The 17,139-nt window shown below is 36.6% G+C and overlaps 1 protein-coding gene across 10 annotated transcripts in view; it reads left to right on the plus strand.

Moving 5' to 3' along the window:
- The window catches only part of SOCS6 (suppressor of cytokine signaling 6), a 41,155-nt gene that overhangs the window by 17,606 nt on the left and 6,410 nt on the right, over positions 1-17,139 (plus strand). The window contains exon 1 of one of the 10 annotated variants that reach the window (XM_017026086.2): positions 7,449-7,645. The exons of 7 other annotated variants lie outside the window; for them this stretch is intronic. The gene's annotated coding sequence lies outside the window, so the exon portion shown is untranslated. Of the gene's footprint in view, positions 1-7,448; positions 7,646-14,952; positions 16,999-17,139 lie in introns of those variants that run through there. 2 more of the 10 variants (XM_047437938.1, XM_047437939.1) reach the window with 2 other exon arrangements.

The raw sequence follows: 17,139 nt of genomic DNA on the forward strand, positions 1-17,139 counted from the left end.
CTTGCCCCCAGTCTTAGTGGCAAAGCATTCAGCCCTTCAGCATTAAGTATGATGTTAGCTGTAGGTTTTTCATAGTTGCCCTTAATTAGTTTGAGCAAGTTTCCTTCTGTTCTTAGCTTATAAAAAGTTTTTATCAATAGGTGTTGTCAATGCCTTTCTGCAACTATTAAGATGATCATGTGTGTTTTTTTCCATCTTTATTAGTATGCTGTAGTGCATCAATTGGTTATTGATGTTAAACCAACCTGGATAAATCTCATTTGGTCAAGGTATATAATGCTTTTTATATGTTGCTGAATTCAGTTTGCTGATGTTTTGTTAAGAAGTTTTGGCCAAGCATGGTGGCTTACGCCTGTAATCCCAACACTTTGGGAGGTCTAGGCAGGAGGACTCTTTGAGCCCAGGAGTTCTAGACAAGCTTGGGCAACATAGGGAGACCCCAGCTTTACAAAAAATAAAAAAATTAGCCGGGTGTGCTGGTGCGTGCCTGTAGTCCCAGCTATTTGGGAGGCCATGATGGGAGGATCACTTGAGCCTGAAGATGGAGGTTGCAGCGAGCCATGATTGCATCACTGCACTCCAGCCTGGGCAACAGAATGAGACCCTGTCTCTAAAAATAATAAAGAATTTTTCTATCAGTGTTCATGATGGATATTGATTTGTAGTTTTCTTGTGATGTCTTTGCCTTTGTTATCAGGGTAATACTGGCCTCACAGAATGGCTTGTGAAGTGTTCCTTTCTTCTCTGTTAGCTGAAAGAGTTTGTGAAGATTTGTATTAATTGTTTAAATCTTTAGTGGAATTTACCAGTGAAGCCACCCGAGCCTGACCTTTCTTTATAGGAAGGTTTTTAATTATCAATTCATTCCTTACTCGTTATAGGTCTATTTAGATTCTCTGTTTCCTTTTGAGTCAGATTTGGTAATTTGTGTCTTTCTAGGATTTTGTCCATTTTCTCTTAAGTTTTCTAATTTGTTGGTAAAAGGTGATTTATAGTATTCCCATATAGTCCTTTAAATTTCCATAGGCTTGATAGTGATAGCCTTTCTTTCATTTCTGATTTTGCTAATTTATGTCTTCTCTCTTAATTTCTTTGTCAGTCTAGCCTAAAGCTTTGTCTGTTTTTTATCTTTTCAAATGACTCACTTTTGGTTTTATTTGTTTTTTCCCTCTTGTTTTTCTGTTTTCTATTTTATTAATTTCTACTCTAACATTTACTATTTTATTCTACTTTCATTGGGTTTAGTTATTTTCTAATTTCTTAAGGGTGAAAGCTTAGGTTATTGATTTGAGATATAGGCATTTAAAGCTGTACATTTTTTCCTAAGCACTACTTTAGCCACATCCCATAAATTTGTGTATGTTTTGTTTTTATTCTGTTCAAAATATTTACTAACTTTTCCTTGTGATTTTTTAGTCTTTGGCCCATTGGTTATTTAGAAGTGTTTTGTTTCATTTAGAAATATTCGGTGTTTTTCCAGATTTATTTCTGTTGTAGATATATCATTAATTTACTTCCATTGTGGTCAGAGAACATACTTGGTATAATTATAGTATCAGTCTTTTTAAATTTATTGAGGCTTTTGGAGACAGTCTTGCTCTGTCACCCAGACTGGAGTGCAGTGGCGTAATCATGGACAAGATGCAGCCTCAGCACTCCTGGGCTCAAGTGATCCTCCTGCCCCAGCTTCCCATGTAGCTGGGGCTACAGGCATGCGCCACCATACCTGGCTAATTTTTTTTTTAATTTTTTGCAACAACTAGGTCTCACTATGCTGTCCAGGCTGGTTTTGAATTCCTGGGCTCATGTGATCCTCCTGCCTTTTCCTCCCAAAATTCTGGGATTACAGGTGTGAGTCACCACACCTGGCTATTGAGGCTTGTTGTGGTCTATCCGGAAAAATGAAGCCTTGAAAAAATATTAATTAGGTCAAGTTAGTTGATAGTGTTGAAGTATTATATACCTTGCTATTTCATCTTTATTTGTTCCATCATTTATGAAATTGGCTTTTTGAAATCTTCAGGTATTATTGTTGAATTGTCTGTGTCTCCTTTCAGTTCTCTCAGGCTTTGCTTTATGTATTTTGGGGTTTTGTTAAGTGCATATGTGTTTACAATTGCTGTGTCTTCGTTATGTATTGACCCTTTTATCATTTTGAAATGCCCCTTTTTGCCCCTGGTAATACTAAAAGTCTATTTTGTCTGATATTAATATTGCTATTCTAGCTCTCATGATTATTATTTACATGGAAATTTTTTCCTGTCCTTTTTAAGTGGTTTGTGTCTTTCTGTGCTAGGGGAGTCTGTTGTAGCCAGCACATAGTTGTTTCTTTTTTAAAAAAGATTTAGTCTGACAATTTCTACTTTTTGAGTAGAGTGACATCAGCAAACTTTTTCTGTAAGGGTCAGATTGTAAATGTGTTAGGCTTTGCATGCTTTATGGCCTCTTAACAATGCAACTTTGTTGCAGTGAGAAAGCAGCCATAAAAGATATGTAACAAAGTAGGAGTGGCTTTATTCCAAACTTTTATTTATGAACATTGAAATTTGAATTTCATATAATTTCCATTTGTCACTTTTTTGTTTTTTTATCATTAAATAATAAAAAAACTTTTTAGCTTATGAAATACACAAAAAGGATGATATGCTGAATTTTGCCTGTGAACTAAAGTTTGCTGACTCCTGGAGTAAGGGTTTATTAGTCCATTCACACTTAATGTGATTATTGATTCCATTGGATTTATGTTTGTCATTTTGCTATTCTTTTTAAAATTTATTTTTGTTTATTTGTTCCTCTGTTACTGCATTCTTTTGTGTTAAGTGCATATTTTTTGGTGTGCCAATTTAATTCCTCTCTTGACGTTTTATTTTTTAAATAATATTGTCTAAGTAATTTTATTTGTGATTGCTCCACAAATCACTCCATGTATCTTTACTTACCACAATCTGCTTCAAAATAATGCTACCTTAATACTGATAAAATACAGACACTTGGCTTCATGTCTCCTTTTCCTCCCCTAACTTTATGCCTTTATTTTTATTTTTATTTTTGAGACAAGAGTCTTGCTCTGTTGCCTAGGCTGGAGTGCAGTGGCATGATCTCAGCTCACTGCAACTTCCACCTCCCAGGTTCAAGTGATTCTCCTACCTTGGCCTCCCGATTAGCTGGGATTACAGGCATGTGCCACCTCACGCAGCTAATTGTTTTGTGTTTTTAGTAGAGACAGGATTTCACCATGTTGGCCAGGCTGGTCTCGAACTCCTGACCTCAAGTGATCCTCCTGCCTCAGCCTCCCAGAATGCTGGGTTTACAGGCGTGAGCCACCACGCCCAGCCTGTGCTATTATTTACATAAATTACTATATGTTGTATGTTATAACCTCAACACTACTGTTAACAGTTATTAACTTAAACAGTCTCATGCCCTTTGAAGAAGAAATGAAAAAAATATATTTATAGTATTTTAAATTGACGTACACACTTACCATTTCCAGTTGTCACCAAATGTGATGAATTCAAAGTACTGAAATGGTTGCTATTGACAGTTTAGTCCAGCTTCATAGTTACTTTTGGGGAAGGAGATTTATTGGCCTCCTCATTCCTTTTTTTAAAATATAGTTTTCATAAATGGTTTTTTTTTTTTTTGAGACAGGGTCTCACTCTGTTGCCCAGGCTGGAGTGCAGTGGTGCAGTCACAGGTCGCTGCAGCCTTGACCTTCCTTTCCAGGCTTGGGTGATCCTCCCACCTCAGCCTCTTTAGTAGCTGGGACTATAGGTATTCGTCACCATGCCTGGCTAATTTTCTAATTTTTTGTGGGGTTTTTTTTTTTTTTTTTTTTGCAGAGACAGGATCTTCCTGTGTTGCCCAGGCTGGTCTTGAACTCCTGGGCTCAAGCAGTCTGCACACCTCGGCCTCCCAAAGTGCTAGGATTATAGGCGTGAGCCACCAAGCCCGGCCAACCACCTCATTCCATCATGCCAGAAGTGAATCCCCTAGGTATATACTGCTTTTATCCCCATTTTCACATGAGGAGACTGAGACATGGATGTCCAAGGTCATTAGGAAATAGTAGTTGCAATGTGGACTCTCGTCTCCCGTCTCCTGTCTATGCTCTTAATCATGAGGTTCTGTGTTGCCATGCCTGATGTTAAGTGAGTGCACATTCAAGTAACATGGCAGTTTCTGAATTATGCACCAAGGGTTCAGCACTTGTATCCATTCCTTGGTAACTTCTTTTGTGACTTTGGGCAAATTATTAAACTAAGGTTCAGTTTGCTCTTCTATAAAACGGAGATAAAAATAGTGTCTTCCAAGTAGAGCTCTTATGAGGATTCAAGAAGTTAAACATAACATTTGTTAGTGCATAACCTCCAAGTGAGTGGCGGTTGGAGCAGCAGCAGAAGTAGCAGCCTTAATGTTAGAAAGCCTTCCCTCATTCCTCCTGGTCTGAGTTAGGTGTGGCTCTGAGTGCTGATGGCATTCTGAAATATGTTTCTCTTAGAGCACTTCTCACAGTCTCCTGCAGATGTTCCCCAATGTATTCTACACTAGAATCTAAGATCCTAGAAGGTAATGAGTTCATCTTTCATCCTTGTGTTTTTGCTATTGCTTGAAGAGGGAAGCAAAAGGCTGAAATGAGGTACTTGGAATGAGGCAAGGCATGAGGCTGATACTTTGCTTCATGAGATTAAAAGCGAGGAACAATTCCAACAGTTTGGGAAGGCTTATGGGAGATGGATTAAGGAAAGTTGTTTATACCTTTGGCCCTGAGAGCATCACGGACCTGCTTTTCATGATACCAAGTAACTGAAACACAGAGACAGGGTTTTTTTACTTAGAGTGCCTTATTTTACCTTAAATTGTACCTGAACACTTGATGGGGTGGAGTGGTCATTTTGTAGTAATGTAAAATCGGCTCGATGGTTACAGAAAAGTCTAATACAGAAAATAAAAGTCAACTTCCTGATCCTTTTTACTGTTCACTAGAGATGTAATCGCTGTTACTTGTATATATTTTGAAACATTTACTATGCACTTTAGGCATATAAATATATATACAAATGAGATGATCTTTGCATTTAGTTTTATAGCTTCTTTCCCCAATAATGTGTAGTGGGCATCTCGCTTTATCTCTACAACATTCCCTTGTATTGATTATCATTTATTAAACTAGTCTGATGATTTTTTTTTATGGTTATTGTTGCTTCCTGACATTTAGGTTCCACATTTTTGCCAAAATGAATTATGCAGTAAATGTTTCGTGTAGGGAAGTGAGCTCTAAAATCAGTTGTGTGACTTTAGGCAAGTTCCTTAACCTCTCTGTATTTCAGCTTCCCCATCTATACATTGAGAATATTAGTACTACTACTTTTGCTAGCTGCAAACATCTGTGTAGCCTAATATAAGCCAGACATTGTTTTAAAAACATCACATATATTAATGCATTTAAACCTCACAACTAGCCTGAGTGATGGGTGCTGATATGTCTAAGATCACAAAATTATTCAGTGGTGGAGCCAGAATATAGTACGTGAACTTACGCAGTCTGGTTCCACAGTGCACAGTACCAAACTTAACAGGGTTATAACAAAGACTTGGCACATAGTAGGCCAATATGTGGTCTGTATTTACCAATATTAGGTCAATGATCAAGTAATGTTTGCTTTTTGTTTTGTTTTTTTTTCAATTAATGCAATAAGGAACATTGTTGTCCATATGTCTTTGTTTTTGGCATGAGTATATATCCAAAGAACAAATCATTAGTAGCATAATTACTTGGTTAGGTGTATATCAATTTAAATTTTTGATAAATATTTTCAAATCATCTTTTACAAAGTTTTACCAATTTACTTCAATCATGAGTTATGAGTGCTCAGTTCAGGATGCTTTTCCCAACATTAAGTGTTACTAATTTAAGTTTTTCAGACTCAGATGAAGAGGTTATCTTGTTTTGGTTTGAATTTCCTTTTCAATGAATTTTAAAAATTGAGATATAATTTGCATACAGTGAAATCACCTTTTTTAGTTGTATTTTGTTGAGTTTTGACAAATGCATTCAGTTACGTAAACACCACCACAATCAAGATATAGAACAATTTCCATTACGCCAAAATTCTTTGGATTTTTTTTTTTTTTTTTTTTGAGATGGAGTCTTCCTCTGTTGCCCAGGCTGGAGTGCAGTGGCGTGATCTTGGCTCACTGCAAACTCCGCCTCCCGGGTTCAAGCAATTCTCCTGCCTCAGCCCTCCTGAGTAGCTGGGATTACAGGCAAGTGCCACGCGCCACCATGCCTGGCTAATTTTTGTATTCTTAGTAGAGACAGGCTTTCACCATGTTGGCCGGGCTGGTCTCGAACTCTTGACCTCGTGATCCACCTGCTTCAGCCTCCCAAAGTGCTGGGATTACAGGCGTGAGCCACCACACCGGGTCCATGGATTTTTTAATGATGAATGAATTGAGAATATTTTAGGTTATTGATTGGCCGCTTGAATTTGTGTTCTCCCTCTTGCTTTTGTGATTTCTTTCTTATTACCTTTCTTCTTCCTTTTCATCATTCTTTTTGTGTGATGTTTGTTTCTGTGCTTTGCCCGTTTGCTTATAGAATTGTTTGCCTTTCTCTTACTGATTTCTAACAGCACAGTTTATGTTACAACATTAATCCTTTGTCATATATATTTGCAGTTTTTCTCTATTTTTTGCTTTCTTTATGCCATTTTTTGGTTATCAAGAAATTTGTACATTTTGCATTGTCAGATTTATTCTTTTATGGATTCAAGGTTTTATGTTATGTATTAGAAGGCCTTCTGCAGTGCAAGCCTTCTAAAAAATATTTTTCTCCAACTTTTATATTTTTTAAAAATAAATATTTATATATTTGATGTTTCTGGATTTCATTTTGATACAAGAAATTAAGTAAGAGCCCTGCTGGACCCACTAGTCCCGAAAGTTTCTCCCACCTACTCATCATCATTCATTGATAGTTCACCTATCCCTGGTGGTCTTAAGATGTCTTCTTGATGACAGACTCTTCCCATATGTCTCTTGGTCTATTTCTTGACTTTCTATTCTGTCATTTCCCTCCTCTAGCGTTAAGCTGTTGCAGCATGTTTTAATATGTCATGTAGCTCATTCTCCTTCAGTTAGTCTTTTAGAATTTTTCTCTTTTCGTTGTTTGCATAACAAAGTTCACTGTCATTTTGTTGACTTTCTTGAAAAAGCATTATTGATGTTTTCTTGGGATCTCGAGTCAATATTTTGACAGGATTGGATTGTTTTACCTGAGAACAAGATGTGTCTATGTATATTTGATCTATTATGATTCTCTGAGGAGTTTTAAAGTGTTTCATGTAGTTTTACATTTGCTATTATTTCACCTTTTTTGAAGCTGTTATAAATAGGATCTAGTCTTTTATTATGTTTTCTTATCTGCTTCTTAAAATTATAGAATCCACAAAAATTAGCCGGGTGTGGTGGCACACACCTGTAATGCCAGCTACTCGGGAGGCTGAGGCAGGAGAATCGCTTGAACCCGGGAGTCAGAGGTTGCAGTGAGCTGAGATGGCACCACCACACTCCAGCCTGGGCGACAGAGTGAGACCCCATCTCAAAACTAAAAATAAAAAAGTTATAGAATTTCTAGTGACTTGTACGTATGAATTTTGTAATTGGTCACTTGACTGAGTTCCTTTTTTTTCCCCCTGATACAGTCATGCCCTGCAAAATGACAGTTTAGTCTATGATGAACCGAGTGTGTAATGTGGTCCTATAGGATTATAATACCATATTTTTACTCTACCCTTTCTTTCTTTAGATATGTTTAGATACACAAATACTTACCACTGTGTTACATTGCCTACAATATTTAGAACAGTAACATGCTTTACAGGTTTGTGGCCTAGAAGCAATAGGCTATACCATAAAGCCTAGGTAAGCTATACAATCACAGTTTGTGTAAATCCACTCTATGTTTGCTCAGTGACAAAATCACCTAACGACATATTTCTCAGAACATACCTGTTGTTCAGCTGCATCTATTGAATTTTCAGATGTTTAATCATTTCATAAGGATAATTTTGTCCTCTCCTTTCCAATATTTATATTTATTTCTTGTCTAATTCATTGGCTAATATGTTGGGAATAATTCTAATTAATAATACAATTGATGTCCTCGTTGCTGGCTTTCAGCATTTCTTCATTACAGCTCTGATTTTGTGTGTATATATATATATATATATATGTCTATTCCTATTTTACAATGGGTTTGGGGTGTCAGGAATTGATGTTTAGTATTTTTTCAGATCCTTCTTGTGACTCATAGCTATGATCATATTATTTTACTCCTTTGATCTAAGGTAATATATATTAATAAACTTCCAAATTAGAGCCACGTTAGCAATCCCAGGATATACCTTATCTAGTTGAATTGTTTTCTCCCTACCACTCCCAATGTTTGCTGGTATTTACGGTTTGTACTTCAATGTTCATAAGTGAGATCAGTTTGATTTTTCTTTTTTTTGGTCGTCTTTGTCAAATTTTGGTATCAGTATACTTTTGACCTCAACAATAAATTTGGGAGCTTTCTGTTTTCTGTGTGCTCTGAAGTGTGTTGTGAATTTTGGACCTATGTCTTTATTGTCCTCCCCTTTTTTCTTTCTCCTGAAGGAAAAAGAGCCATGGTAGCTCCTTGATCACTTTCTCAGTTTCCTTGACAATTATTAGCTTCTTTTGGATTTCTGTGTCTTCTGCTGCAAATTTTGATGATATATATTTTGCTATAAAATTATCCTTTTCATCTGAGTTTCAAATTAATTTTCATAGAATTTTCAAAGTAGTTTTACACATTTTGATTCCTCATGCATGTGTGGTTATTGCTCTATTTCTGATTTTGTATAAGCACATTCCCTTTCTTGATTATGCCAGCTAGTTGTTTACCAATTGAGTTTTCTCTTGCATAATCAAAGAATCAACTCTTGTAATGTTTAATGCTGTTACTTTTTATTTTCTAATTCATTAATTTGTGCTTTTATCTTTATTTTTTCTGATTTTTCTTTTGCTGGCTGGGGGTTTATAATTAGCGACTTCTTGAATTGAATGCATAATTTATTTCTTTTAATTCCTTACCAGGTAGTTTTGTAAGTGTTTAAATCTTTGAATTTTTCTGTGGACCCAGTTTTAGGGTCTTGCAGAATCACATATATTTTGATATGTTTTTTTGTTTTTGTTTTTGTGGTTTTTTTTGAGATGGAGTTTCGCTTTTGTTGCCCAGGCTGGAGTGCAGTGGCGCGATCTTGGCTCACTGCAACCTCCGTCTCCTGGGTTTAAGCGATTCTCTTGCCTCAGCCTCACTCCTGCCACCACGCCCAGCGAATTTTTTATTTTTAGTAGAGACAGGGTTTCAGCATGTTGGCCAGGCTGGTCTTGAGCTCCTAACCTCAAGTGATCCGCCCGCCTCGACCTCCCAAAGTGCTGGGATTACAGGCATGAGCCACCTCGCCCGGCTGATATGTAGCATTTTCATTATGTTAGTATACATTTGTGTTCACTTTGAGATTTTGTCTCTGACTTGAGTCATTTAAAGATGTTTGATTTTAATTTAATTAATTTTTTTTTGTTTGTCCTATTTACTTTTATTGCCTTGTGGTTAATTAAGGAGTTCTCTCTGACTTTTAAAATTTATGAAGGTTTTCATTGGGGCCTTTAGTAACTATTCCATAAGTTCTTGAAAAGGAGATGTGTTCTCAGTTTTTAGGGTACAGAATCCCATATGTCTAAAAGATAAATTAATTTTGTAATTTAAATTTGCTATATTCTTCATTTTTGTTTACTTCATTTTCCTGGGCTGAAAGAGACATTTTAATGCTGTTCCATTTTATGTTCAAAGATTTTTGGCAGATTTTTTTCTTCATTATATTATGAATTATACTTTTCATAATGTGCCCCTTTTCATTTTGTTTGACCAGTTTATCTTGAATGCAGTGCCATCTTACCATTGTTACTCTAGCTTCCTTGTTGCCAGCCTATGCCTTTTTCCATTTTTTTCTGTTAGAGGACTCTTTTTTTTCTTCAAAATTTTTCAGAATTGAATTTTTCAGTTAATTGAAAAACTTCACTAAACTAGGGACTCGTGTACTTTAAACATTTTATTTTAAATTAAAACAAGTAAATACACTCTTTCATTAATTTCTAAATGTAGGACCAGTGTGTTTTCTTTAAATGTCTATTGACTGAACTCTGTATCAGTCTAAATGATACACTCTATATCCTTACATAATATGTCTAGGATTTCTAGTTTAGCACTTCTTTTAAGTATAATTAGAAGTTTAATTGCCTTTGCAAAGCAATCTTTATACAAAGGCCCAGTTATTTTTTTCAAGGTAGCATAGTGGAATTTACTTATTTTTTATAATGTATTTTTTATTTCAATAAGTTTTTGGGGAACAGGTGGTTTTTGGTTACATGGAAGTTCTTTAGTGGTGATTTCTGAGATTTGGGTTCAGCCATCACCTGAGCAGTGTACATTGTACCGAGTGTGTAGTCTTTTATCCCTCACCCCCTCCCACACTTTCCCCTGAGTCTGCAAAGTCCATTGTATCATTCTTATGCCTTTGCATCCTCATAACTTAGCTCGCACTTATAAGTGAGAACATACGATGTTTGATTTTCCATTCCAGAGTTAGTTACTTCACTTAGAATGGAAGTTAGTTACTTCCATTCAGGTTGTTGTGAATGCCATTCTTTCATTCCTTTTTATAGCTAAGTAGTATTCCATGGTGTGTGTGTGTGTGTGTGTGTATACACATACATATATAGATACATATATACACATATATACATACATATATACACATATATACATACATATATACATACATATATACGTATATATACACACTTCATATATACATACACACACACACACACACACACACACACCACATTTTCTTTATCCACTCATTGGTTGATGGACGTTGGGCTCATTCCATATTTTTGCAGTTGTGAATCGTGCTGCTATGTGTGTGCCAGTACAATTTTTTTTTTTTCCCTCTGGGTAGATACCTAGTAGTGGGATTGCTGGATGAAATGGTAGAGCTACTTTTAGTTCTTTACGGAATTTCCAGTTTTCCGTAGTGGTTCTAGTTTACATTCCCGCCAACAGTGTAGAACTGTTCCCTTTTTACCACATTCACACCAACATCGTTTTGTTTGTTTGTTTGAGACAGGGCCCTACACTCGGTCACCCAGGTTGGTGTGTGGGTGTGCATGGTGTGATCTTGGCTCACTGCAACCTCTGCCTCCAGGGTTCAAGCAGTCCTCCCACCTTAGCCTCCTGAGTAGCTTGAACTGCAAGCACACACTATCACACCCAGCTAATTTTTGTAATTTTTGGTAGAGATGGAGTTTCAGCATGTTGGCCGGACTGGCCCTCGAACGCCTGACCTCAAGTGATCCACCTGCCTCAGCATCCCAAAGTGCTGGGATGACAGGCGTGAACCACTGTACCTGGCCTATTATTTATTATATAGTTTTTTTTTAAAGGAATGTTTCCCTAGTCTTTTTGCCTGTACGTGATTCTGCAGAAAACATTTTTAGCCACCTGCATTTATTTATTATTTCTAAATCAATTTGCACTATTTTTATATAAATAATTTTCAAAAATATTCTTATTTGTTCATATGTTTAAATTGCATAATGAATTTAAATACAAAAAAAAGTTTGCATCTGAGCATCACCCATGCCCGGGAGCTGTCTTTGGTGTTGGAGATACAGTCATGACCACTACTGAAAACATTCCTGATCTCAAGTAGAACACACTTAGTACAACTAGCTGGTAGCATAAGAAAATCGCAGGCACAGTGAAGAAGAGAATAGTTGGAAAGAGTGGAAATACTGGAGAGATTTTATGATATTTTGAAACTTTCTGAGATAATTTTAGTGTGTCCTTTCCATATATAACATATTATTGTTGTTTTTTTTTTTTAATCAGATCTTAAAATGTTTTTCTTCTAGGCCGGACGTGGTGGCTCACGCCTGTAATCCCAGCACTTTGGGAGGCCAAAGCGGGTGGATCACAAGGTCAGGAGTTTGAGACCAGCCTGGCCAACATGGCAAAACCCTGTCTCTACTAAAAATAGAATAATTAGCCAGGTGTGGTGGTGGGCGCCTATAATCCCAGCTACTCAGGAGGCTGAGGCAGGAGAATCACTTGAAACTGAGAGACAGAGGTTTCAGTGAGCCGAGATGGTGCCATTGCACTCCAGCCTGGGCGACGCGAGCAAGATTCCGTCTCACAAAAAAAAGAAAAGAAAAGAAAAAAGAGAAGAGAAAAGAAGAAAGAAAGAAAGGAAATTTTGTCTAATAGTTGAATTTACTCCATTTATATGTATTGGTATAACAAACATTTTGGAGCCTACATCTTACCATATTTCATGTTGTATTTGTATTGTAATTCTTTTTTATTATATGGTCTGTTCTATTCTTTCTTTTTCTATTCTCCCTTTCTGGGAAGACTTTGGTATCTCTTTTTTATTTTTCCTTTTTTTCCTAAGGGAATGGCAAATAGTGTTCTCACAGGTTTAGGAGCGGTGGAGTAGAATCTAAGAAACTGAGATGAAAGTACATGAACCATGCAGGTTCAGAAATTGACAATGCAGCTTATGGTGTAGAGAGAGATTTACAACGCTATTAACTTTTTATGTGGATTCTTTGCTTTATGTTAAAGTCTTTCTTTTTGTTCTCTTAAATTGCCTTCACAGATAATTTAAGCCTGTGGCTCTGGTCTGTGGATCCTCTTTCATCATAATCCTGAAACATCATTTGTCTTTTTTACTGATGGTACAGAAAGCAATGATGGATGATAAAACTGATGATGCCTTACCATGAGTCAAGGCAGCGGCACCAAACTGTAATAGTAAATGTAGTAATAGTCGTATGTTCTTTAGTAAGAACCAAGCACTTCAGTAAAAAAAAAAAAAAAAAAAAAAAATTGGTTATACTTACGGATGCCATTGATGAAGCTATAAAAATTAATTTTATGAAATCTTCACCCTGAGCTTACATCTTTCTAAAATTCTTTTTATGAAATGTGAATATTTCAAAGACACTTTCCAGTACATACTGAAGAAGGAAGAGTGTCTCCAGGGGAAGCGCTTGTTTGAATTGCTGGCTACACTAGCTAACTAGCTCCTTTTTTTCTGTGAAATAACCACTTTTACTAAAAACAACGATCGACAGACACACATGATTATTCCATGTGTTTTAACAGATATTTTCCCATAAATAATCAACATGAGTCTGTCACTTCATTAAAAACAAATGACAGTATTATTGCCAGTGATAAAATTCAAAGTTTCTTTTTTTTTTTGAGATGGAGTCTTGCTTGTTGCCCAGGCTGGAGTGCAGTGGTGTGATCTCAGCTCACTGCAGTCTCTGCTTCCTGGGCTCAAGTGATTCTCCTTCAGCCTCCAGAGTAGCTGGGATTATAGGTGTGAGCCATAATGCCTGGCTAATGTTGATATTTTTAGTAGAGACGGGGTTTCACCATGTTGGCCAGGCTGGTCTCGAACTCCTGGCCTCAAGTGTTCCACCCACCTCAGCTTCCCAGAGTGCTGGGATTATAGGCATGACCAATGGGTTTGAATGTTATAGAGTAAAAAAATTTTGTGTTATGGTTTTAGATTTTACAGGGCAATTTATCATTAAGAAACTATTATTCATTGAGTTTTGATATAGTATCAAAGAAAAATATCCATAGTTATATGAAAAGGTTATTAAATAAAATATATTGTTCCTTTTTCCAACTATGTATCTGGAGGAGGCTGAATTTTCTTCTTACAGGTAGTCCCCTATGCACAGTTTCAATTACCACAGTCGATAGTCATCTGAAGACAGCTAAGTGCAGTACAGTAAGATATTTTGCGAGAGAGAGAGTCCACATTCTCATAGCTTTTATTACAATATTTTGCTATAATTGTTTAATTTTATTATTAGTTATAGTTATTAATCTCTTACTGTACCTAACTTAAAAATTAAACTTTATCATAGGTATGTGTGTATAGGAAAAAAGCAAAGTATACTTGATATAGGGTTCTGTACTATATGTGGTTTCAGGAATCCACAGGGGATCCTGGGATGTATCCCTTGCAGATAAGAGAGGGCTACTGTACTGTAACAGATTCAGTGCAGAAGTAGATATGAGAGTCTAGCTGTCTTCCTTTAGTCAGGCAGAAGAGATTTACAGTAATGTCATGTGGTACCACTTTCACTGATTTTTATTATCATTCATGAAAATGTTATTTATGTTAACATGTAATGAGTATATTGTCATTTTAAAATAAATATAAAATTAGGCTGGGCATAGTGGCTCATACCTGTAATCCCAGCACTTTGGGAAGCTGAGGTAGGAGGATTGCTTGAGGCCAGGAGTTCAAGACCAGCCCGGGCAACATAGACCTCATCTCTACAAAAAGTAGACAAAATTAGCCAGGCGTGGTGGTGCGTGCCTATAGTACCAACTGCTCAGGAGGCTGAGGTGGGAGGATCTCTTGAACCCAGGAGGTTGAGGCTGCAGTGAGCCGAGATCATACCACTGCACTCTAGCCTGGCCAACACAGCGAGACTCTGATTCTGTGTCTTCAATAAATAAATAAATAACAAATTTTCTCAGTTTTTTTTTTTTTTTTTTTTTTTTTTGACAGAGTTTTCGCTCTTGTTGCCCAGGCTGGAGTGCAGTGGCGCAATCTTGGCTCACTGCAACCTCTGCCTCCCAGTCTCAAGCAATTCTTCTGCCTCAGCCTCCTGAGTAGCTGGGATTACAGGCACACGCCACCATGCCTGGCTATTTTTTTTTTTTTTTTTTTGTATTTTTAGTAGAGATGGGGTTTCACCACGTTGGCCAGGCTGGTCTCCAACTCCTGACCTCAGGTGATCCGCCTCGGCCTCCCAAAGTGCTGGGATTACAGAAGTGAGCCATCATGCCCCGCCTCTCGGTTTTATTTTCTAGTAGGGTACATTTCAAGAGATGCAACCCACATAAACAATGCTTCTTCCTGTCTTCCAATAATTTTTAAGAGAATAAAGGGGTTCTGAGACCAGAATGTTTGAGAACCACTGATGTAAGCAGTAGAATGACAGGTAGGACAGGTTGGCATAGGGGAAGAATGTGAGCTTTGCAAATAAACAGCCAGGTTCAGATTCTGGATCTGCTGTTGCTAGTAGCAAATTGTTTAACTTTGTTGGGCAAATTCCAGTCTCTCTGATAACCAGTTTCCTCATTTTATAAAATGGGGATAATAAAGCTGTTTTGTTTATTGAAGGTTAAGTAGTTGTTTGATCTTTTTAATTTTTTCATTATGTGTTATGATGACTGACAGACATGACTACCTCAAGTCATTTAAGAAAAGGTTGAAATTATTTGAAGAAGTTATCCTTTACCCATATGGATAAAGTTTATGTCTAAAGCTTTTTCCCTTGAAACTTTATATACATTTTCAAGTATATGTATAAACTTAAAATTTTACAATTAGAAAAGCAGTAAAACTAATTCAGAACATTTACTTAGGCACGAGACAGATGGTAATCCTATAAAAAGATGGCATATATTTTTGGATGTGCAAACAGAAAAACAGATACTCTTAAAAATTTTAGAGTAATCTTTGCCTAGAATATGAAGGGAAGAGATAAAAGACCATATGGCCTAATAGAACTTTTATAGTTTGTAATGTCTAGGATTGAATTTTGTTTCTTTAATATTAGTATTGATTAATAGCTTACTAATATGGATTGGTAGTTGAAAAAGGAATAATTTTCAAGCAGGTAATTGCCAAGTACTTTTACCGTGGTTGCTAGTCTCTCGTGTTTTGGGGTATGGGTGTGATAGTGGGAAGCACAACTATTTGAATCTCACATTTAGTAGGGTTAATCAGTTACTGATTCTGGCAGTTATAATAGTTCATTATGCTTGGGTAGAAGACATGCTACTAAGACACTGAGTTCACCTAATATACAACTTCATTTATTATTTAAAAGTAACTGGTGCTTCAAATATTTTAAGTTTTTTATTTTTTACAACTTATTCAGAAACATAGTACATGACAGTAGACTTTTAAAAATTGCTTCTTCCTTTTGGGGACATGATAGTACTGATCCCCTGATAGGTTGTCTAATCTGAGTGGTTTTTAGTAAGAATGATTCCATCTGCACACCACCCGAATCCTATCTGTAACTAAAAGGGGACAATTGTCAGGTTCTCTCTCTCCTGTCAGTTCCCACCTTGTGTACCATTATATTACTGAAGGGTTGATACTACAGTTTATCTGTTCATACATCTGTCTCTCCTACTGGATTAGGTGACCATCAGTTATTCATCAATCTGTGTATTGCCACACAGGGCTGAGCCAAGCTGACTCAGCAGAGGCCGAGTAGGGGCTTAGTAAAGGCAGAGTGAATTCATGAATGGGATCAAAGCTAGAGCCATAGTCTTGTGCCAAGAAACTGAGTGGCGCTAAACTGCTGATTTGGGAGGTCAGAATCTTGTTCTGGGCTTTATTAGCATTTCGCTCAAGTCAAGCGAATCACCTTGTCAAGTCATATGCAGAGAAGGCAGAACATGACGTTGGAGGAAAGAAAACATTCTACACAGTTTAAACACAGGGCCTTTGTAAAGTAGTGTTAGGATCACTTAACGTGGTTTATGGAACCAAGATTTTTTGCTGTGAAATGACTTTCAGAAAGTCTTTACAGAATTGAAATCCTGTCATTTCAGTGTAGAACAATGTACAAAAAAAGTTTAGAAAATATATTTCTGGATATAGAAGTAAAAATTTGCCATGGGAAATTGCAAAAAAAGAAGAGTAAGCAATAATAATTCTGGAAATATGTTTCATAATCTTCCAAATAGATCAAAACTAGACACATGGGTTTTTATGGGTGTACTTCAGAGATGAAGCTTTTCAACCTGCGCGCATTGAGCTTCTTCCTCCTCTGTGCATTGGGAACTTGAAGGTAAATGATTCTTGTTCTCAAGGAATTCTCGAGTATAGAGGAACATCTCTAGATAGTTTATTACAGATAATGAAATTCTTTTTGTTTATTTTGACACAAGCTTAAGTATTTAAAATATGCATCAGTTGTTGAGTTGACTAG

Source organism: Homo sapiens, chromosome 18 (genome assembly GCF_000001405.40).
Source record: "Homo sapiens chromosome 18, GRCh38.p14 Primary Assembly".
Classification (NCBI taxonomy): Eukaryota; Metazoa; Chordata; class Mammalia; order Primates; family Hominidae; genus Homo; species Homo sapiens.